We start from the raw sequence: 21522 nt of genomic DNA, 5'->3' as shown, positions 1-21522 counted from the left end.
CCTGATCCCAGGGGCAGCATGGCTTGAGGAGGCTGGTTTGAAGACGCGTGAGCCCTGATCCCAGGGGCAGCATGGCTTGAGCTACACAAAACTCAGGGAAGCTTGGCTCATGCCTGACCTGGCTATGGCTGGCTGTGCTACCAGGCCAACAGACCAGCTGGCTGGTCCTATAGACTTGGGTCAAATGTGCACTCTTGGAGCCTGGTTTCTTGGGTGGGCGCTTGCTGTTTTGGAGTGGGAGTGGGTAATGCCCTCTCTTACTTGTGTGTTTTGTGGGGGTTCAGAGGGTACAAATGGCCAGGTGAGGAGGTCCTACTCACCTGGACTCCTGCTCTGTGGGCAGCAGGGTCTTGTCCTGACTCTTGCTGCTGCTGCTGGCTGGGCTGCTATCTGCGATGGGACCCACATGGCTGATGCTGCTGGGCATGAGGACACGTGGTTAGGAGTGGGATAGTGAAATGCCTGCCCCCTCCCAAACTCTGGTAAGCCCAAGGCTCTGGACATGCTCATCCAGGCTCTTCTGACATGTGGCAACACCGAGTTGAAGGCAGAGGCTGTCCTATGCCCTGGCCCGTAGGCATCACCATCCTCTACCTAATGCACAGGAGGCTCCTCTCTCGGCTGTTGGCAGGGGGAGCAGGGAGGTATGGAAGGGCCACTGGCATGGAAAAGGGAGGAGGAGAGGCTGAGTGGGGACCAGGACTGGTAAGGAGCAGACCTGACACTGCAGGAAGGAGCCTCTGGGAACCGTTTGCAAAACCAAGAGTGCTGGGCCCGGCGGCACTCTGCCTCACTGACGGTGCTCCCACTGCCCCGAGCCAGGAAGGCGGCTCGGGCTCGCTCCCGCTCCTTCACTGTCAGAAGCCTCAACAGAGAGTTCTGGGGAAGAAGAGACAAGATCTTAGAGGTGAAGATATCTTGTAAACTGCCAAGCCATAGAGAATCCTATCTCCATTACCACCTTTGCAACCTCCCTTAGAAGCTGCCCAGAGCCCTTCTGGAGGCATCAGCACTTCCAGTGCGGCCCAGGGCAGATCAGTCTTCCTCACGCAGTTTCCTCAGCCTGGGCACCAGATCATCTGTCACTGGATGGAACCTGAGCCCATTCCTGATACTTGTCCCTGCTTGAGCAGGACCCAGTGCTCCCCCAATCTGCCCAGCGTGCCTCCCAGGCCCTTGTCACCCAGTATCCCAGGAACATTTGCCCCAACTGGCCCTCACCTGGGGACGCAACTGCTGCAGAAGCAGGAGGGACTCATGGGACAAGAAGTCAGGCCACTCTATGTGGCCTCGATGTTCAGGGTCCAGGGCAGCAAACTGGCGGGCCGCCTGCTCTTCTTGCTCCTCACTCAGGGCCCTGTCACGGTCCCCCCGCTTGGCTGCTTGGTGGCGGTAACGCAGAAAGTCCTCCAGTGTCAGGGAGCAATCTGTGGGAGGCACCCCGTGCTAGCCATGCCCATCCTTCCTCAGCCTCAGGGCACCTCCATCACCTCCAGGGCACCCTCGGGGCCCCCAAACCCACAGCTCTTGCTAAGTCTCTGCCTCCCATGGCCAGGGTCACCCAGGCTGTGACAGGGATAGGTGACTCTGCTGGCCAACAACTCAGGAACAAGGACTCATTTACCCTCTACCCACTAAATATGGAACACTCCTTTCATGGTTCATTCTAGAAAGCCTGAAGGAGAAATCTGCCCGGCCCCTCTCCATCCATGCAGCACCACCCAACCTTACCAGGGATGACTTTACACCGCTGAAAGGTCTCCGTGAGGCTATACATTTCCTCCTCAGTAAGCAGCAAGTTGATGTTGTCCTGAAAATAAGGAAGAGCTGAGTCGGTGGCCATACAGGCCAGTAAGAAAGGCCAGGGTCAAGGGGGCTAGAAATAGAATTTCAACTGGAAAGCAGTTCCAAGATCATCTAATCCCAGCCTCCTATTCACAATCAATGAGATTGAGGCCCCAGAGAGGAGAAAGGACTTGGCCAGAGTTGTCTTTACTCTGGGGCAGAATCTTCCCCAAGAACCCAGATATCCTGACTCCAGCACTGAGTCCCTTTACTAAAACAGTGGTTTTCTCCTCTGAGCTAACCTAGGGATTTCTTGGAAGTGCCTTAGGAAGCTGCTGCAGGGAATAAGGGGGCTAGTGAGTAGGCAGGTTGTGAATCCCTATCTCCATCAAGCAGAGCGGCTCCATCTCCATCCCTTTTATCTACTTGGCTTCTGTGTTAGGCTGTGCTAAAAATGTATTTTAGTTAAAAAAAAAAAAAGTTTAATCCTAGCTCTGCTCCAAGTGGGTTGTATCACTTTAAATAACCCCAGAATGGTTTTAAAAGATGCCATTATTACAAGGCTCCTAAAGCCAAATGAGTTTTTTTGTAGTGCCACAGAAGTTTTAATTCCAAAGGAGCACCAATATCTTATTGTGTTGACGTTACCATACAGTCTTTAAACTATCAAAGATCCTTTCTAGTACAAGGTCATTTTCTTCCTCTGAGATACCCGCAAAGTACAAGAGCAGATATTTCATGAGTATTCATACGTGGATTTCATAAAGAACTCAAACCATTCTTTTTCTTCCATAACACTTTTTAAAAACTAATATATAATAGTTGTATTTTTCTTTCAAACCATACTTTCAATAAACACCTACTGAGCACCTAGTAAACACTGGGCGCCACAGTGGTGTGTAACACTGTGAGATGTTCAGTGTGGCTGAGGTTTGGAGTACATGTGAGTGTGTGTGTGAGGGAAGGAGGGGGCCTACTATGAAGTACCTCCAATACCCTTTATCGAGCCCCTCAAATTAGGCCTTTATTCTGAGGGCAAAAGGGAGCCACCAAAGGGTTTTCAAGTGGGGAGTGCCGTGGTCAGATCTCTGGCTGCTGTGTGGAAGATGGATTAGAGCGGCAGAGTCTGGAGGTGTGGAGAGCAGTTGGGGGCTGCCGCAACAGTCCAGGCAAGAAATGATGAGCAGCTAAACTGAGACATGAGAATGAAGAAGGGAAGAGAGATATTAGAGGCAGCATCATCAGGACCTGATGACTCACTGGATGTGAGGCATGAGGGAGAGATTGAACTGGAATTGGTAACTGGGGCATGGTATTACTATTCACAGAGATAAGGAGTGGAGGAAGAGCAGGTTTGGGGGCAAAGATGAGTTCATTTTGGGGCATGATGAGTGTGAAGTACTTGTGAGATATCAAGGTGGATAAGTGCAAGAGACAGGAAATTTAGGTCTGGACACACAGAAATAGGAGTCATTAGTGTTTAGATGGTGGCTGTAGATGAAGTCACCAAAGAGGGCGCAGTGAGAAAAGAAGAGTATTAAACAACAGAACCCTGAGAAACAGGACTGAGACAAGAAACTAACAAAGGGCATTGAGAAAGAATGGTCAGAGACTAAGGCTGGAAGAGCATCAGTAGAGAAGAAGGTACTGGATACCAAGCAAAGACAGCTGCAGAATGTGGGAGGTAATGTTAACGGTGGTTACACCACTGAGGTGGGATTTTATTGACTTTCTATTTTCTCTCATTTCCATATCTTATGCAATAATTCTCATAAAAATACTTAAATCCTAAAGAAAAGAGAGAGGAATAAAGAAGTAATAAATACTTCAGAGAGATCAAGTAAGAAGATGCCTCAGAAAAGGTCAGTGGACTTGACAATTAGGAGGTGACTGGTGACCTTAGGAAGCAACAGTTCTGCAGAATGATGGATGCAGATGTCAGATTATATGATAGGTGGTTGAAAAACCATAGGAGATGGTGAAATTCTTTTAAGAAGTTTGGCTGTGGGGCCAGGTGCAATGGCTTGTGCCTGTAGTCCCAGCTACTGAGGAAGCTGAGGCAGGAGGATTGCTTAGGTCTAGGAGTTCAAGGCTGCAGTGCTACGATCGCACCACTGCACTTCAGCCAGGTGACACAGTGAGACCCTGTCTCATAAAAAGAAAAAAAAGAAGAAGAAGATTTGTTGGCTGTGAAGGGAAGGAAAGAAAGGAGAGGTACTTGGAAGGAGGCTCTGTAAAAAGCCCAGTGGAGCATGGTGGCAATGATGGTAGGACTGTGTCAGGAAGCTGGGGAGGGAGCAGTGTGTTCCTGGGGGTTAGGGAGGTGACCCCTTCACCCCAGTCCTATAGCAGCAGCACACCGCAAAGCAGAGTGGCCGAGATGAAAGGATGGCATTTGGAAGGGGTGACAGGCACTAGAGAAGGTCGCCGGTACAGCAGGGTCTGCTGCAGTGTACTCCATGGGGACAGGTGTTTCAGTGGCTGAAAATAGCTGTTCCATAACAAGCCATAGAGGAAGAGTTATTTGTTAGAAAGTGGCACATCTCTGCTTTCGTCTAAGCAGCAGGAAGAAGGGGGGATCAGCAGGTGCTCCTCACTCTGAAATCAATAAACAATGACGATATCTGCAGGACAACAGATCAATAAGGCAAGACTTGAACTCTATTCAGGTGTAGTGAGAAATGGATATAAATCTGGCTTTCAATGGAAACCTTAGACTCTGTCCTTCATTAAAAGTTAGAAGGCATTTATATATAATTTGCGAAGTTCTGAATCAATAGAGCTTTGTCATTTAATTCACATAATAACCACTTCAAAGAGGAAGAGCAAATGCTTATGAGTCAGGTGGCAGGCTGAGTGAGGATCTCAGGCCTAGGAAGTTTTCCTGTGATAGAATCTACCCCTACTGGAAGCAAGCTGGTTAGGATCTCAGGTTAGTTTTCATATGGATACAATGAATGACAACTATAGACTATTAGAGAAAGAACTGCTCCAAGCAGAATTACTTTTGAGTAATTAGGCCCCAGTCAATCTCCTAGCTCAGAGGTTCTCTACCGGGGGTGATTTTGCTACCTTCACATTGAGATGTATGCTACCGGCATCTAGGGGATTAAGGCCAGGGTGCCGCTAAACATCCTACAATGCACTTGGCCCCTCAAACAAGTAACTAGCCAGCCTAAAATGTACTGAGGTTGAGAAACCCCATCCTAGCTCTAGGTCTCTTGTATGTACCATTGGAAAAATCTTTTTTTTTTTTTTTTTTTCGAGACAGAGTCTCGCTCTGTCGCCAGGCTGGAGTGCAGTGGCGCGATTTCGGCTCGCTGCAACCTCCGCCTCCTGGGTTTAAGTGATTCTCCTACCTCAGCCTCCCGAGTAGCTGGGACTACAGGCGCGTGCCACCACGCCCAGCTAATTTTTGTATTTTTAGTAGAGATGGGGTTTCACCATGTTGGCCAGGATGGTCTCAATCTCTTGACCTCGTGATCTTCCGGCACTGGCCTCCCAAAGTGCTGGGATTACAGGCATGAGCCACCGCGCCCAGCCCATTGGAAAATTCTTTAGGTCACTGCCTAAAATCAAGTGTTCTAAGACCGGGCCTCCAGGAAAAGTGCCAAGTCCTCTGCTGTCCCTGCAGTCCAGACTTACACAGTAGTGGCAGCTCCAGCCTGTTTCTGTGTGGGCCATCTCCGTCACCTCCGCTGCACTGTCTCCTTGGATGTAGCCCATGCGGCGCAGGCAGCCATCATGGAAAACCCTGGTGCAGACCCTGCACGGGAAGAGGCTCTCAGCTGTCCAGACCTCACAAACATCACACATCTCATCGTTGACAACCTGCAGAAAGATGGCAGGAGGAAACAGGGATGTGTAAATGTAGGCAGCAAGATTCCAAGGCCACTAAGCACAGAGCTACCTGCATGGGGCTGAGTCTTCCCAGATTAGCCTAGAGGAACAGCCCCAACTGAAGCCATTGTTGAGGTTTTCTTTCTGGACGACAAGAACCAGGAGGTCCTTCCAGCTGCTCATGTCTTTGTGACCATGTTTATGAACAGGGAGCTACTAGCACTTTTAGAAAGAACAATCTGTTGTGAGAGATTGTTCCAGGCATTGCAGGACATTTATCATCCCTGCTTTTCTTGGTACCAAACACCAGTAGCCACCTGGTGTTGTGACCTCCCCAAACTCCTCCCTCCCAAATTTCCAATTGCCTCCCGCAGGGTGTAGTACTATCCATGGTTGAAAACCCATGGCAGCGGGGAAGAGGGGGAGGTTCGACAGAAGACCTGCCACAGCATCATTCTTTATCATCCATTGCCCCAAGCCTTTCACTAAGATGAATCCAGGATATAACAAACATTTTATTCTTACAGAAGAAATTCAAAGATTTTTTTGGACTCAGCTCCATTTTTCCGGTTTTGAGGATCACCTTACCCACATCCATCTTCCCTGTCCTGCTCCCTGATGCACTAAGACTTGAGGATCCTGTCCTAACTGGATACTCACAGGCTCTCTGGGCTCCAGGCAGATTTCTGGAGGTTTGTCATCATCCAGCTTCCGGGTGGGGCGGATGAACGCAGGGGGTGTGAATCGACTTGTCCTGTCAAACTCCTCAGGCTCCACGCCGCGCCCATCTCGGAGCCGCTCCCAGGCTGCGCGGCCGGCACTACTCTCTTCCTGGACCACCGAGGTTCCTGCTTCTGCTTCCTTCTCCTCCTGTACCTCCTGGACGGAGCCCTCTACAGTGCCACGGCGGGACCCTGGCAGCTCACCTGTGCGTCGGATGGAAGGCCTGTCCCGCAGCCCATCCTTGAAAGCAGACACAGCCAGACTCACCTTCTGCACCTGCTCCACTGTCTGCCGCTTGGACATCAACACCCCCATGGCTCTGTGGACAAAAAGCAGAGGGGCACAGGTTCAGCCAATGGCTGAGGATGTCAGGCTAATCAGTTTCAACCTAAGTGGCAAGGGCTATTAAACAGTTTCTCCCTCTTCTAGAACATGGTGGGGGTGGAGACAGCACATGTTAAGGATCAGAAGATGTTGGTTCTACTTCTTTCCTAAATTTTATTTATTTATTTATTTAATTTATTTATTAGAGATGAGGTCTTACTATGTTGCCCAGGCTCTTCTTGAACTCCTGGGCTTTAGTGATTCCCTTGGTTCAGCCTCCTAAGTAGCTGGGATCACAGGCCTACCACCTTGCCTGGATGACTTTGGTTCGATTTCTGACAGGCCTTGCAACTTTGGTTTTCCCATCTATGGAATGAGGGCTATTTCCCCAGCCCACTTCACAGGGATGTTACAAGGATAATGTAAGAAAATGGGCATAATGGTGCTTCGTAGACTGGAAAGCACTCTACGTGCATGAAATGATATCTCTGTCTCCCTTCCTGTCCTAAAACCAATTTAGTCCAGGGGTCCTACACCTCTGCTACTTCGAAATGGTTGGAGACTTCAGAATCCAAATTTCTCCTCTACCCTGCAAGAAGACTCAAGGCTTAAAGCAAGCTGGCAGCAACACAGTTCAGGCCTTTTGAGACAAGAAAAGCTCCTTCAGTAGGTGCCATGAACAATCCATCTGGGGCTAATCCTCATCAAATGCCTACTTTTTAAGTCAATGAACTCCTAGTTTTAGAGGACTCCTGAATTAGTCAGTAAGGAAACTCTGCCACCCGTATCCATGTGGTCAAGGTCACACAAACACTCCTTTGCCCCCTCTCATTAGTAGCTGTGCCTCTCTGTGGGTCTGCTTATCTATTACAGACACTGGCCTATTACAAAGCTCTAAGGTACCTCTCACACTTCTAAGGCTGCGCTGTCACTCCCACATTTTCTGCTTTAATTCTTCTGAACTGTTCAAGAAAGGTCCATATCCTTTACAGGTTAAAAAGTAACATCAGACCTGCTCTTCTCTGTGGTACCAGAGCACAGCATTGGACAGTGAGGGCATGACAGGGCACATTGCAAAGCTGGTCTGCTATTTCCTAGCCTGAGGAGACTTAGTGGAAGTCAGCTGGGGAATTCTTTTTCTAAGTAAAGTGGAGCAGAGTCCATTTTAGCCTTGCTCTCAATCCATTCTAATCAAGGCTTATTGAACAGTATTATGTGCAAGGCACTAACTGCTCATCATAGGAAACAGAAGACAGGAGAACAGTCTCACCACTCAAGCTACTTAATATTAGAAACCAAAGAAGTCAAAGTGCTGAGAGTACCTAAAGGAAGGCGAGACCCACCACACTACTGGTGGTCAAAGTGGACCTTGAAGGATGCACAGGCGGTTATGCTCAGTTTGTTTGGGGGAAAAGGTGACAGCGGGTAGGAGGAGAAGTAAGGCCAGTTCGAAGGTTACTGTTAATATCATAGTCCAGACAAGAGGTAGAGGGTTTAAATGGAAATGATGATAGCAGGAATAATACTGACTGAGTGTATCTGTTACCATGGAAATAGAATTAGGGAAATCTAGGAATAAATTGATAATTGATTGGATGAAGGATAAAGGGAAAGAGGGCAGTTTTTTGTTTTTTTGGTTTTTTTTTTTTGAGACAGAGTCTCGCTCTGTCGCCCAGGCTGGAGTGCAGTGGCACGATCTTGGCTCACTGCAACCTCTGCCTCCTGAGTTCAAGTGATTCACCTGCCTCAGCCTCCTAAGTAGCTGGGACTACAGGCACATGCCACCATGCCCGGCTAATTTTTTGTATTTTTAGTAGAGACGGGGTTTCACCGTGTTAGCCAGGATGGTCTCGATCTCCTGACCTCATGATCCGCCCACCTCGGCCTCCTAAAGTGCTGGGATTACAGGCGTGAGCCACCGTGCCTGGCGAAAGAGGGCAGTTTTAAATGGACTAACTAGAAGAATGGTAGTGCCACTTACAGAAATTGGAAATAAGAGGGATAATTAAATTGGATTTTGTATATGTTGAATTAAAGATGTCCCTGGGACATTCAGGTGTCGAGTTATCCCCTGATTAAAACTTTCAGTGCTTCCTTCAGCTTTCAGGAGGAAGTCCCCACAATCAGTCTCTTTACTGTGGCCTGTGAGGCCCTGCATGGTCTGGCCTCCCTTCTTTACTCTGTGTCCCAACCATAATGGCCTTATTTCAGTCTTTATTTGCTATACTCCCTCTGTTTTGGGGAAGTTTGAACATTCCTCCCCACCTGACTAGTGCCTATTTGTCTATCAGAGCTAAGGCTCAAGTCTCATTTCCTTGGGGAAGTCACTGCTGACTCCAGTCCAGGTCGGAGTGCTCACAGCACCATGCCCTTCTGCTCTGGGCACTTACCTTCATCATTACATATTCAATAGGATGATTACTGATCAATGTCAGTTTCCCCTATTAGACTGTTTTATCCCACACAGTACTTATCTCCACTGCCTAGCAATGTGTCTGTCTATTAAGCATCTAACAGAATAGATTCTTAATAAACATTTTCCAATTAGCTAATTAATTGTGGAGAATTCCTTTTACTTTTAAAAATGAAACCTTAATACATGTACTATCTGATGACAGCCCCATCTTCTTTTCGGAAACACTGCTTGTATGTGCCACAGTGGTGCGAACTCCTACACTGCTCACGTGCTTGCCTTGCCACTACTACTACCAAGGAAATTCATATTCTTGAATTTATAAACTGATTGATAGGAAAGGAAAGAACCACCTCCCCGACTCCATTTATAAATTTGTTTGTAAAACTGAAGTATGTGACGAAGGAACATTGACTTTAAATACTTAATACTGCCTTAAAGGGCAGTGGCACAGGAGATTTATTGAAGAAAGATTTATTGAGCACATTCAGGAAATCATTTAGGGTATTCATGCCTCAGTGGACAACTAAGAATAAATTGTAATTAAAATGAAAATATCTTAATCCCCAAATAAATTCATAAAAAATTGTGATTAAGAAATCTTTTTTTCATTAGCTGGAAACAAATATTAAGCAATAGGGAAATAAATTACGTACCACGAAAGACTAAACAACACGGAAAACACTGAGGTAGAAGTATATTTATTGGTGGGAAAGATACTCAAAATATGCAAACATATTAACAAAAATAGCAAGTTACAAAAATGCTCATGTTATGATCTAATTTTTGTACTGTATGTACTTTTAATCTTTTTGTAATCTATATTTTCCAATTCTCCCACATTGCACATTAATTAGATAATAAAACAAATCCTAGGGTTGGCAACTTGATGACTTGTTTTTGTTTTGGGTCCCCTGTTCTATGATTCAGAACCTGTTGCTGGTTGCTTTGGGCTTTAGTTCTCTGTCTGTTAATGAGTGTATTTGGAACATATAGTCTGAAGCATTTAGAATGCTCATGTTGTTTTTCATCTTCTTTTAAAAGTTCATATGATCTAATGAGGGAATCTAGCCAGGGTGGGGTGGGGATGGAGAGAAGAGTATGTATATGTTAAATTTTTTGCTGAGGCTTTGGACCCAGTGGGTTCTTGAAGTGACAGGGCTGGCCCTGTAGTCCCCAGATGCTGCTCAAATGCCTCATGGGCAACAGCGTGTTCGATGGCTGGGTGGGATGCAACTCCCCAACTTACAGTGACAGAGGTACCCCAAGAGAGAAAATACAAAACTGACAGATAATTCTTCATATTTTTATTTGAGCATATTTTTATTATGAGCAATTACATTTTCCAGACCACTAGGTTTTCCTCAGAAACCCCAAGGCATGTTTCTCAAAACTTTCAACTGTGGCTCAGAGTAAGAAATATATTTTTTGTGATAACCCTGTAGACACATGTGTTTATAGATCTGCAACTGAAGTCAAAATTTTGTGGAACAATCATACTTTTACTACATGTGATGCTCCCTGATATTTTCTATCCTATTTCATTAAAACAACCCTGATAGTGACTCTCTGAAATGATTTCATGACCTACTAATGGATTTAAATCTGCAATTTGAAGAACGCACCTCTAAAAGACAAGGATATAAGGAAAGTGCTGCCCTTAACTGATGTGGTGAAAGATGAACAGTTTATTCAAGCTTCTCTTAGGAGTCTGTGTGGTTGGAAGATCCACCAGAGATGGACAGCTACTAATATACCTCTGACTAAAGAAAACCTATTGTATCCAAGAGGCTGATGCTCTTTCACCTGTGGGTATATGTAAAAAAAAAAAATTTAGCTAGGCATAGTGGCACATGCCTGTAATCCCAGCTACGTGGGCAGCTGAGGTGGGAGAACTGCTTGAGCCCAGGAATTCAAAACCAGCCTGGCCAACATAGCAATACCTCATCACATTAAAAAAAAATGATTGATTGGAGCATTCTTTTTACAGTGATTAAAAAGATGGAAAGAAATTGGGCATGGTGATTTGCTCCTATAATCCCAGCTACTCGGGAGGCTGAAGCATGAGGATTGCTTGAGACCAGGAGTTTGGGTCTGTAGTGTGCCATGACTGTGCCTGTGAATAGCCACTACACTGAAACCTGGGCAACACAGTGAGACCCTGTCTCTTAAAAAAGAAAAAAGGTGGAAACAACCTCAATAGGGAAATTACTGAATAACTTGTGATATATTCATGCTATTAAAAAAGAGAAAAAATGATTTAATTATTTATTTTGAGATGGGGCGAGGGGGGGGGTCTCGCCATATTACCCAGGCTAGTCTCGAACTCCTGCACTCAAGCAATCCTCTCACATAGCTGGGACTACAGGTCATGATTGATAATTTTTGAAAAATTTCAAGCAATCCTCTCACATAGCTGGGGCTACAGGTCGTGCTAATTTTTGAAAAATTTTTAAAGAGACAGGGTCTTGGTATGTTGCCCAGACTTGTTGATAACTCTGGGGCTCATGTGATTCCCTGCCTCAGCCTCCCAAGTAGCTAGGATTATAGGTTCCAGCCAGAGTGCCCAGCTTGATTTAATTTTTTAAACACAACAACCAGAGCAATGATTCTCAAGTGGTGAATTGGCTGGATCCTGTGGCAGGTGGGAGGTGTATATCAGAAACTCCGGGAGGAGGGGAGAAATAAGTGAGTTTCAAGAGCTTATCAATTATGTATTTATATTTGGAAAACAAGTATTAAAAACCATCTCTGCTTTTTTTGTGTGTGTGACATAGACTACAAAACAGTGAGTTTGACAGTATCTTCTTTGTTCTTAGGGCTATACGGAAGGTACTAACTCTCCAAATAGTTGGAGGCAGCCTCCTCCCAGGAGTTATATCACAAGTTTTAGGGAACAGTCAAGAGACTTTTATGTTTATCAGAAGGTCTGATAAACACTGGAAAAAAATAGTTGAGAAACACTTATTTGGAGATCTGGAAAAAAAATACTAAATTCACATTTTCAAGAACGATTCATTAGAGGAAAACCAATGGTATGCCTTTGTTTTTGGCTTTTTCAGATGCTTTAATAAAAGTTATTGAACAAAGACCAGCCAGTTAGGAAGTTACTCTATAAATGAACTTACTCATTAACAGAGAATCATCAAATTAATCACAGACACCTCCCAACACACTGTAGATCCGCTACAACCCATTATTAACTGTAAGGATACCATTATTCTTTATAAGGATACCAAGAATAGCTATGAAGCTATCTCCATGGTCAACTATGTCATTGCAATGGTTTTGGGAGTTTATCCTTAAAGCAATTTCTATGAAGACTGAAGCTGACATCTACTAGCAAAACAAACATAAAAACAAACGCTTTCCAGTCCTAAGCACAGGCTCTTGGAGCACTGCTATTCCTTTTAGCTGAGATGGTTCAATCTTGTAGACCATTTTATGCCTGTAAGGGCAGAAATGCAAAGTAGAACTATTCACAGTAAACCATCAAAATCCAAACAAGACCATCAAGTCATTTTGAATTGACATGACTTTGACTTTGACAGTAAACTGTGAAGACACAACAGAATTCAGCTTTAAAAGCGAGTCTAAAACTCTTAATACTTAATGGAGAGGATCAAAACTGTATACAAAAGACACTTTGATTAAAAGTGTGTGTGCTGAAATATCCAAAAAGTGCACCTGGGATGTTTGAGAACTTAACAAAATCAGCTCAAATTTTTAGAGAAACAAGTGGTAGTGATTGGTGCCAGGTAAAAACAAATGCTTGTGGATAAAAACCTGGCCTCTCCTGTGCTGGAATAAGTCCTAGGAAAAAGAGAGAGTTAAAAGGAAATCAAGTTGCAAAGATCCCACAAATTATACCTAATGATTACTTCTTTCGCTGGTGGGTGGGACTGGGGGTTTCTGCCTCCCTAAAAATGACGAAAAGAGGCCAAAAAGATATTGTCCCAAGAATTATGTGGCTGTCAGGGAATTTGTGGTATCTAGGGAAGGCCTGGAAAAAAACTCAGGGGAGAGGAGCAGGTGATGGTATATAACAGCGGGACAAGAAGGTGGAATAGGGCCGTCTGACTTCATGAACTGGAAGAAATGAAAACAGCAACAAGTAGAATCTGTCTTGGGTAAGAGAAGCATGTCTAGATGTGTTTGTCAGGCAGTAAGACATTTGTGGGCAGCTTGTAATGTTTGCAAGACACACCCATTTTCTGCAGAGCACCTGCTTAGAATTCAGCGGGATTATTAATAAGGGCAAAGTGGTGGGAGTAAGAGGAGGAGGGGCTGCTCTGGAGCAGGAGCTGATAGAGAAATAAGGAAGGGGAAGGAAGCTGGGGAGCCTCTATTTCCCAGCACTCTGTATAAAGATTCAGAGCTGTGGAGAGCCTGAAGGGCAACACTCCTAATAGGCAGGAGTTTCCTCATGCAGCCTGTTAAATGTAAAGTACATTTACTGATTTTCTCTTCTTAAAATTTATGTTTTCAGATGGAGGGTGGTTCTAGGGTCTCACTATGTTACCCAGGCTGGCCTCAAACTCCTGGGCTCAAGTGATTCTCCTGCCTCAGCCTCCCGAGTAGCTGGTTCAATCTGATTCTTGGTATGGGGATGGAGGCTATTTAAAAGGCTCACAAGCAAGTAAAAGTGGCTGCCTGGAGGTTAGGGCTTCCCTAGGAAGGAACAAGGCAAAGAAAACCTCTGAGTGAGGGGAAAGGGAAAGACAACCAAAGAGAATAGGTTGAGCAAGTGGAGTAAAGGAATCTGTGTTTCACTGAGATCAGGAGGGAGAAAAGTAGAGATGGTTCTTACTGACTTCCACAGAGCATGTGAATTAAAGTGTCTTTTGTATACAGGTTTGATCATCTCCATTAAGCATTAAGGGTTTTAGCCTCTTAAATCTTTGTTGAATGAATGATGCAGAGATGACTGGGCAACATAAACAATTTATTTAAGATCATAGTGTCTTTTCTCTTTATCAAATTGGCCAGAGACTAATGAGACCAAATCTCCAAAACTCAATTCTAGAAACTATGCAGTCACCAGCTCACATCATCACATCTACTCTACTTCCCAAGAGGTGGCACCTGGACAGTGAGTCAGGGCTAGCAGGGATGAGAACACGAGGATGATTTCTCTCTGACTACAGAGGAGAGTTAAGAAATTCTGCAATTTAGCCGGTTTCTACAATCACAATGGTAAGAAAAGAGAAGCCAGTATTACCAAAGTCAACAGTCCCCTGCATTTATGCTGTGTCCTGTGGACTATGGTGAGGCCCACAGGAGGGCAGTTGCCTTAAGGACACAAGTAGAAAGTGTGAAAATGCACTTCCTTTGTCCTGGGTTTGAAATTTAGCACGAGCAGTATCTGCACATACAAGTGAAAAATTTCAAGGTGGTCAACAATTGGCTCCTGGAAGCATGTGCCCAAAGGGCTGAGAGCCTTAGGAAAAGCCATATGCCTAACACAGAAGGTGACCAGCTGCAAGAGTGTGGAAAATCAACACAACCAGGGTCTGTAAAAAAACAAAACAAACGCTGAATGCATAGCACAGACTCTGAGCTTACTGTGAACATCAGCATCAACCTCAAGATTTTAAGCAAAAAAAAAAAAAAAAAAACCATCAAAAAGAGTTCTCGTGCGGGTCTTTGAGGAAATCCAAGCCCCGAGGGGTCCGATTGTTCTCCAGTGACTGGCTGTTGCTTTAGGAAATTCCAGTGCCTCACTACAGTGCTCTTGGAGCCTGTTCCTACTCAGACATTTTGTCACCTGGCAGTAGCCTAGAAACTAATTTTAGTATTCATGTTTGTAGACCCTGAAAGGTCTACCTGGTACCTCCCCACCTCTCTTCATTCAGCCTGTTTATTCAGGATGAGACAGTCACAACTACATGGGGCTTTTCTGGGGTTTCCAAGGAACAGAAAGGCTAGACAGAAAAACTGTCTTTCTGGCCTCAGCTCAAGACTACAAGGCATCCTGCTGCTGTTTAATATTTACTGAAAGCTCACAAAGTTCTAATATAGATGAGAGCAAAATTATGGCATGAGCTTAGCCTCTTAGGGCCTGAGTCTTCATTAAAAGCCACAGTGCTGACTTCCCACAGAGGCAGAGCAACAGTTAAGGAACATCACACCATCAGTGATTGGCTGGTGAGACTGCACTTAGCAAGCAGAGCTTTTCAGCAAGATGGAGAGGCACTCCCTGTTTTCTGCTCTGGTTCCCTGAAACACAGATTCAGCCCCATGTAATGCAATTATTACACCTTAATTATCACCATTTACTTCTCTGTTGATTCTGCAAACTTTCGCCGAGTACAGCCTACTATGCGTCAGGCACAAATCAGGTGCTTAATAACTGATGGTAGAATGAACAAATGGAAGCTCATTCAGCCTGTGAGAATGCAGTGAGTATGTGCGTGTGCAGGGGGCATAAGTGTAGGATTGAAAAAAAAAAGGTGTTGCTTGAGCTAAATTTTGAATATGAGTAGGAGTTACATCAGTGGATAAGGAAAAAAAAAAAAAGCATTCCAGGAAGAGGTAACAGCACATGCCAAGGCATGGAGCTATATGGGGACTCCATCATGACTTAGATGGTATGAAGCCAGCCTGGGGGCTAGATAGAAATAGGCAAGGAAACGTGTCTTCACATAAGAATTAGCATCAGCCCAAAGAACTGGTTTGAGATAGTATGCTTAAAATATTTGTTAGAATATGTATTTGAGTTTCAAGGAGGAAGAAAATCCCAGAGAATTGGATTTGCTGAGGCCAGGAAGAGGGACTGCCCTGATAAGTTCCAGCGCTGACCAGTGAGTGCATTGTTTGGCCTTAGGACCCAACAGGAAACTCCTTCGCAACCTAAGAGCTCGTAGGTGGTGACTGTAGTGAATCACTGGGGCTTTCCCTCTGGGAGACTCCTAAGCCTCAAAAAAACAAACATACAAAAAGAGAGAGAGCCAATTAGCCCACACAGCTCTGCTTCAGTGAGAGGACCCCAGTAAGATGAAGCATTTCTCAAAACCAAACAGCCAACATATATCTAAAAGGGCTTCATAAACTGTAACATGCTATCTAAATAAAAGGTTCTGTCATTACTATCATAAGGAAGGCAAAAATGTGGTCAGTTTACACTCAGAGTATATGGGCAAAAGTAATTTTGGCAGGGCACTGGCAGGAGGGCTGAATGTGGCTGCCAGAGGAGGCATAGCACAGCAGCTGAGTTTCAGTGATGCTTGGGAAAAGGCATACTCTATATTGGTTCCTGTGGATATTCTGTAATGCCATAATTTCCCCCTTACTTTTCCTACTCTTTATAGTGAATGATTAGAGAAATGCAGACTGATTCTATGTGAACTCCTCAAGGGCAAGAAACTCTCATATTTATCTAGCATAGTGCCTGGCAAGTAAGTAGCACTTAGTAAATGTAAGTGAGTCTCTGAGGGGATTGCTGGAAGAGTGGGGAGAATGGAGGGGGATGTGCTAATGGAAAAAATAATCATGTCTTCAGCTGGACACTGATGGTCTTGGTTTCTTGGTCCAAAGCTGGCAAGCAATTCCTGTCAGAATTTGGTCATTAAGATTGAGGGGTGGAGTGGATAATGATATTCCCATCAGAAATGAATAAATCAATTTGGGACATGAAGATAGCAGAAGCCAAGCAGCACTGCTGGAGAGAAGCGTGTGGGACTAAAAGATAATAGATTCTGTAGCTAAAGAGAAGGGAAACTATTTGCATGAATGTGATTCACTTAGGAACAGGTGTAGTGGAAAAAATTGCAAGGAGTCGGGGAAATGGGCCTGGGGAGGTCTTACTATCCATGTTGAAGGAAAGGAATGGCAAATGTTAGAAGAAGACAATGTTAGAAGATTGGAGAATATGTGAAAGATCAAAGGTTGAGAAATCCAGACAGTAAAATCCAGACACATTTGGGTAAGCTCAAATGAAACTGGGTGAGCCGTTCTCTCCCCTTTTATTTCCCTTTGGAGAGAGCATTTTTGAGAAGGTTAAGGCCACCTGGTGACATCTTTCGTGCACATTCTGGAATGATTTGATTTGCAGACTCATGCTGTGACTAGGGAGAGTTAGGCTGTATTCTTAGGATTTTTGAAATCTTAATTTTACCCAATGCTGGACATGGGGAAGCTGATATCCAAGGTCCAAGATTAGGGGAGAGCCTGGATCCATTTAGTGATTTTTCCAGGGTCATGAGTGGGTGTGATAATAAGCACCCTCAACAAAAGACCAATTTAGGAATAAAACCTCAATGACAAATCAATGATCTGGAACAAAGATCATATCTTCAGGTTTGGTCCTTCTGACTTTCTTTAAATATATGCCTACCTATTTATTCTGATCTGTTAAGCTGATCAGATGGGTTTGAACTGAAAGGGGGATTATAAACAACTTTACAATGGGGAGGTCCTAACCAACAAAAACCTTTGTCGGGCTTTACTCCACTGAGTTGCGCGCAAGGTAGCATCACTGAGTTAAAAGAAAAAAAATCTAACAACTGGTAAACTATGTTGTTCTGTTTTCCCACTAGCTTGGTCTCTCTCCTCACTATGTAATTCCAGGAGCCAAAGGAAGCCACTTCTGTTCAAGGAGGATTTAACTAGGTTTGACTGTGTGGAAGAAAGCAGGGAAGGGGAGCAGGAAAACCCTTCCAGAATGGCTCTAATGAATATCATTGCTTGGCCCTCTCACCACTCCGTTTTTGGACAAGAAACCAGAATCCATCCTTGGAGCTCAAAGTTGAACTCTTGGGATTCAGCTAGAATGAAAACAACGAGGGGGCGAGATGAGGAGGCAACACTATGTCTGGCGCAGACCCTTTGCGCTCCCCCTAACAGACTCCCAGTGAGCCTTCCTTGGCTCTGCACCTTTCCTGTCCTCCTCCTCCTCATGCAGAGGCACTCTTGGGCAAAAGTGTCCTGAGTGCTATCTGTGGACCATTGTCCACCGGTGCATGTAGTCAGAGGGTCACAAGGACAGTGTGGATCGTGCTTCCTAAAAGTGATCCTGTCTCTCCTTTCTCTCCTTCGAGTATTCGGTAGCAGGTAGGGTGGTCTTGGGACACTCCATCCGCAGAAGGGTCCCCCTAGATCCCCAGAGAAAGCCCTGTCAAAAACCACACCCAGAGGCCTCAATTAGGTCCAGAGCCACCCCAAGGCATCATGACAGTGGGACTGCCAGTGAAGGAAGCCACACCCTGAAATCTGGGGATTCTGTGGAAATCAGTTCCTGCAGCAATCTCATGGCCAGTTAAACTGTCCTCATCCACTTATTTAATCATCACATTTACTGAGCTTGTACCACTGCAAAACCCTATGCTCGGCAGGCACCTTAATGCAACTTATTAACAAATATCTATTCTTTCTTCTGCTGCTCCTTAGTACTTTTTCCCAAATAAAATTTGAAAAACATTTTATGATTATGTTTTTCATCAGCTTTGTGACCTTGGGCAAATTGCTAAACCTCTCTGAGTCTCAATGTTTAAAAGGGGATAATTTCACAAAGCTGTTGTAAGAGTTATATGAGATGTTTAAACATACCTAGTATACTGCCTAGCGTACTGGTGCTCAACAATCCCATACATCCTTTATTCCTTCCTTCAAAGGCCTTTCCCTCCAGGACCTGCCAAAGTCAGTTATTCCACCTGATCTTACTGCTTCCTTCCGCACGGTCAAACCTAGGGGCTCAAATCTCCTATCTTTGCTTTAGAGGCCTCACTGGTCCTCATCCTCGGCTTAGGGCCCTGTGCTCTCGCAGCAGTTTCTGTCTCCACTAAAATGCAGCGTGGAGCAACTGGGCTACCATGGAGAAGAAAAATCCGAATGGGGAAAGAGGAGGAATGGAAAGAGGCTGCAGCCCTAGAAGGCCCCCACCTCTGGGCCACGGTGTGGGGATACAAGTAAGGGCACATGGAACCCTACAGGGATCCCGGTGGAGGCCAAAGTCCTTGGAGCCGTGGGAAGTCACTCATGGATCCCATGGGAGGATCCCCCTCCCCAGTCAGAGGTTGCTTCCCACAGTTCTAGGGCACAGTCTCAGGTCCTCCTTTTCTAGGGAGCCCTCTGGGGGCTCCACCACCTCGAGGTTCCTGCGGCTCCCCTATGTTCCCAGGTGGTCTTCCATTGAGCCAGCTCCAGAGACCACCCTTGTGCCTGCTCCCACAGTGACACAGAAGGGCTCTCTGGGGCCAGTCCCCTCCACGCTGGGGCTCCCTATGGCAGCAAATGCAGACAGCGCCGCGGGAGTCCATTCCCACAGGGGGTCTTTATGGGGGCGGCTCCCCACAGCACCTCAGGGACTCCCCCAAGGCGTAGAGGCAGCAGCTACTTGGGGTTCATCCAATGACACAGGGGGGCCACCTTGGAGGCGGCTCCCACACAAGCACCTCAGAGTCCCGGAGGACTGTCCGCGGCCGCAGACCCGCCCCTCAGGTGACGGCCCGGTCCCCGCCGCCCCCGCCCCCGCTTACCGGGACCGTCCGGGTGCGGGACGCGGCTCCGGGGCGGCGGACTCTACACACCGCGGGCCCCGCGCAGCCCACGGCAGCCCGAGAGCCGGCGTGCTGGGCCGAGCGCCGGCAGCAGGCGGCGCGGGCGGAGCGGCAGGCTGAGGAGGCGGCGGCGGCGGCGGCGGCGGCGGCGGCGCGCGCGGCCGGAGCACACCCACCCGCCCCGGGGGGCTGCGGCGTGTGCACCCGCGCGAGGTGCCCTGGGCCGGCCGGTGGGCGCGCCCCGCCCCGCCCAGTCCTCTTGCGCCTCCAGGAGACGCCCTCGCGGCTCCGCGGGCGGCGGGTGACCGGCGACGGGCGCGCGGGCGTGGGGCGCCGTGGGAATGCGGGAGGACGGCGGACGGCTCCGATGAGCAGACGGCCCAGGTGCCCGTGGGCGCCCCCCACGAGCGCCCGGCACTGCGGCGCGGGGACTGCGCCAGCGGCCGACTGCGGCAAGGACAGTGCCCGCCCGGAGGAGGCGGCCCGGAGGGGGCGCCTTGGGGGCGCTGGGGCCGCTCACCGCTCGCGTTCCGCGCCGGGGGTTGGGTGGGGGGAAGGCGGGGTCCGGGTGGATGCCGCCACCAGCACGTGCCCGGGGTGGGGAGAATGACTCATCCAGCAGGGCCTACCAGCCGTCCCCCGCAGGGCTCCGGGCTCACGACCCCTGGCACTGGGGCACTCACCTTTGCAGTACCCCACTGGCCTCCGGAGGGTCCCAACGAACCTTCACATAATCCTCGGCTGGCCCAGCCTACCCTATGCGCTGTTTTCTGGGATTATTGGTTTTTCATCTCCAGCAGCGAGGCTGTGCTGTCGTGTAACCCACTTTTTGCTGCAGCAACCTCATCCCTCACAATATCCAAACAGCTAGCTTGTCAGAAGGCCAGCAATTCTGAGGGCTATAATGTGCATTACACCAAACTACATGCTTTGAAGAGGGCAAGAAAAAGATAAAATCGTAAGATAGCCAGCAACTAATTATAAGGAAAAATTGAAGATATGCAAATGATATGTCGAGAGCCCTTTAATTTATATTAATTGCACTTACATTTTTAAAATACCTTTATTTTCTTGTGCATTCAATTTATTTACCTCAAATATAATGCATGTCATTTTTTTGAGCGTCTAGTATTTGTTACATACTGTGCTAGGTACCCTGGTGCGATATAAAAAAGAAATTTTGCCCTTAACATGGAATTTACCAATAGAGGATATAAGGCAAGTATGGTATATTTCTATCACTTTAAAACACGAAGTGCCAGGTACTATTCTAAATGGTTTAAATATGTTGTCATTAATTTTCACACCATCCCTTTGAGGGAGTCTACTGTTAGTTTCGACATTTTGCCAGTGATGAAACTGAGGCAAAGAGAGGTTAAACAACTCGCCCAAGGTCACATGGCTAATATGTGATGGAGGTGAGACTGAAATTCAGGTATTCTGATTTCATACCGCAAGCTCCTATTTCTCAGTCCTGCCACTGAGAAAGGAGAGGCTATAAACCATTAATATATGGAGTTCTAAAATTAGTACTTATTAGTTCTAAAATTAGTGCTTATTTCTCAAGAGACACTATGGTTATTTTGCTTGTTGTGAAACTAGCACTAAAAAGCAGACTGAGCCTTCCATATAGTCTGGGGGTCCCCCCCTAACTTTCTTTAGAATTACATCATACCGACAGTTTCACAGATAGACTTCTCTGAACTGTTTTTAGTAAGTGTTTTATTTCTAGGCTGTCTGATGGGCTTATATGGAAAAGGAGGTTGTAACATCATCATATAAATCTCTGTCGGTTAATTCCTTCCTTCATTCAAAAAAATTTATATTGTGGCCAGGCGTGGTGGCTCACGCCTGTAATTCCAGCACTTTGGGAGGCCGAGGCAGGTGAGTCACCTGAGGTCGAGACCAGCCTGGCCAACATAGTGAAACCCCACCTCTACT

The 21522-nt window shown here is 46.4% G+C and overlaps 1 protein-coding gene across 16 annotated transcripts in view, besides 2 other annotated features; it reads right to left on the bottom strand.

Annotated features, from left to right (window-relative positions):
- The window catches only part of PHF24 (PHD finger protein 24), a 316938-nt gene that overhangs the window by 4583 nt on the left and 290833 nt on the right, over window positions 1-21522 (bottom strand). For 6 of the 16 annotated variants that reach the window (XM_047423102.1, XM_047423103.1, XM_017014554.2 and 3 more), the window contains 6 exons: window positions 6286-6667; window positions 5431-5616; window positions 1732-1810; window positions 1222-1427; window positions 719-879; window positions 321-419 (listed from right to left, as the gene is read on the bottom strand). In XM_047423102.1, coding sequence (XP_047279058.1) covers window positions 321-419; window positions 719-879; window positions 1222-1427; window positions 1732-1810; window positions 5431-5616; window positions 6286-6667 — 1113 coding nt within the window. Of the gene's footprint in view, window positions 1-320; window positions 420-718; window positions 880-1221; window positions 1428-1731; window positions 1811-5430; window positions 5617-6285; window positions 6668-19560; window positions 19678-20264; window positions 20476-21522 lie in introns of those variants that run through there. The other 10 variants (NR_136307.2, NM_001304333.3, NR_136308.2 and 7 more) reach the window with 8 other exon arrangements.
- Window positions 19550-19629: a silencer, noted in NCBI's record as "silent region_19857". NCBI's record gives its function as "represses an Ori minimal core promoter by ATAC-STARR-seq in GM12878 lymphoblastoid cells {active_cell/tissue: GM12878}" and the evidence as "EXISTENCE:reporter gene assay evidence [ECO:0000049][PMID:35858748]".
- Window positions 20979-21118: an enhancer, noted in NCBI's record as "active region_28315". NCBI's record gives its function as "activates an Ori minimal core promoter by ATAC-STARR-seq in GM12878 lymphoblastoid cells {active_cell/tissue: GM12878}" and the evidence as "EXISTENCE:reporter gene assay evidence [ECO:0000049][PMID:35858748]".

Source organism: Homo sapiens, chromosome 9, assembly GCF_000001405.40.
Source record: "Homo sapiens chromosome 9, GRCh38.p14 Primary Assembly".
Lineage (NCBI taxonomy): Eukaryota > Metazoa > Chordata > Mammalia > Primates > Hominidae > Homo > Homo sapiens.
This window is presented reverse-complemented; position numbering and strand designations above follow the sequence as displayed.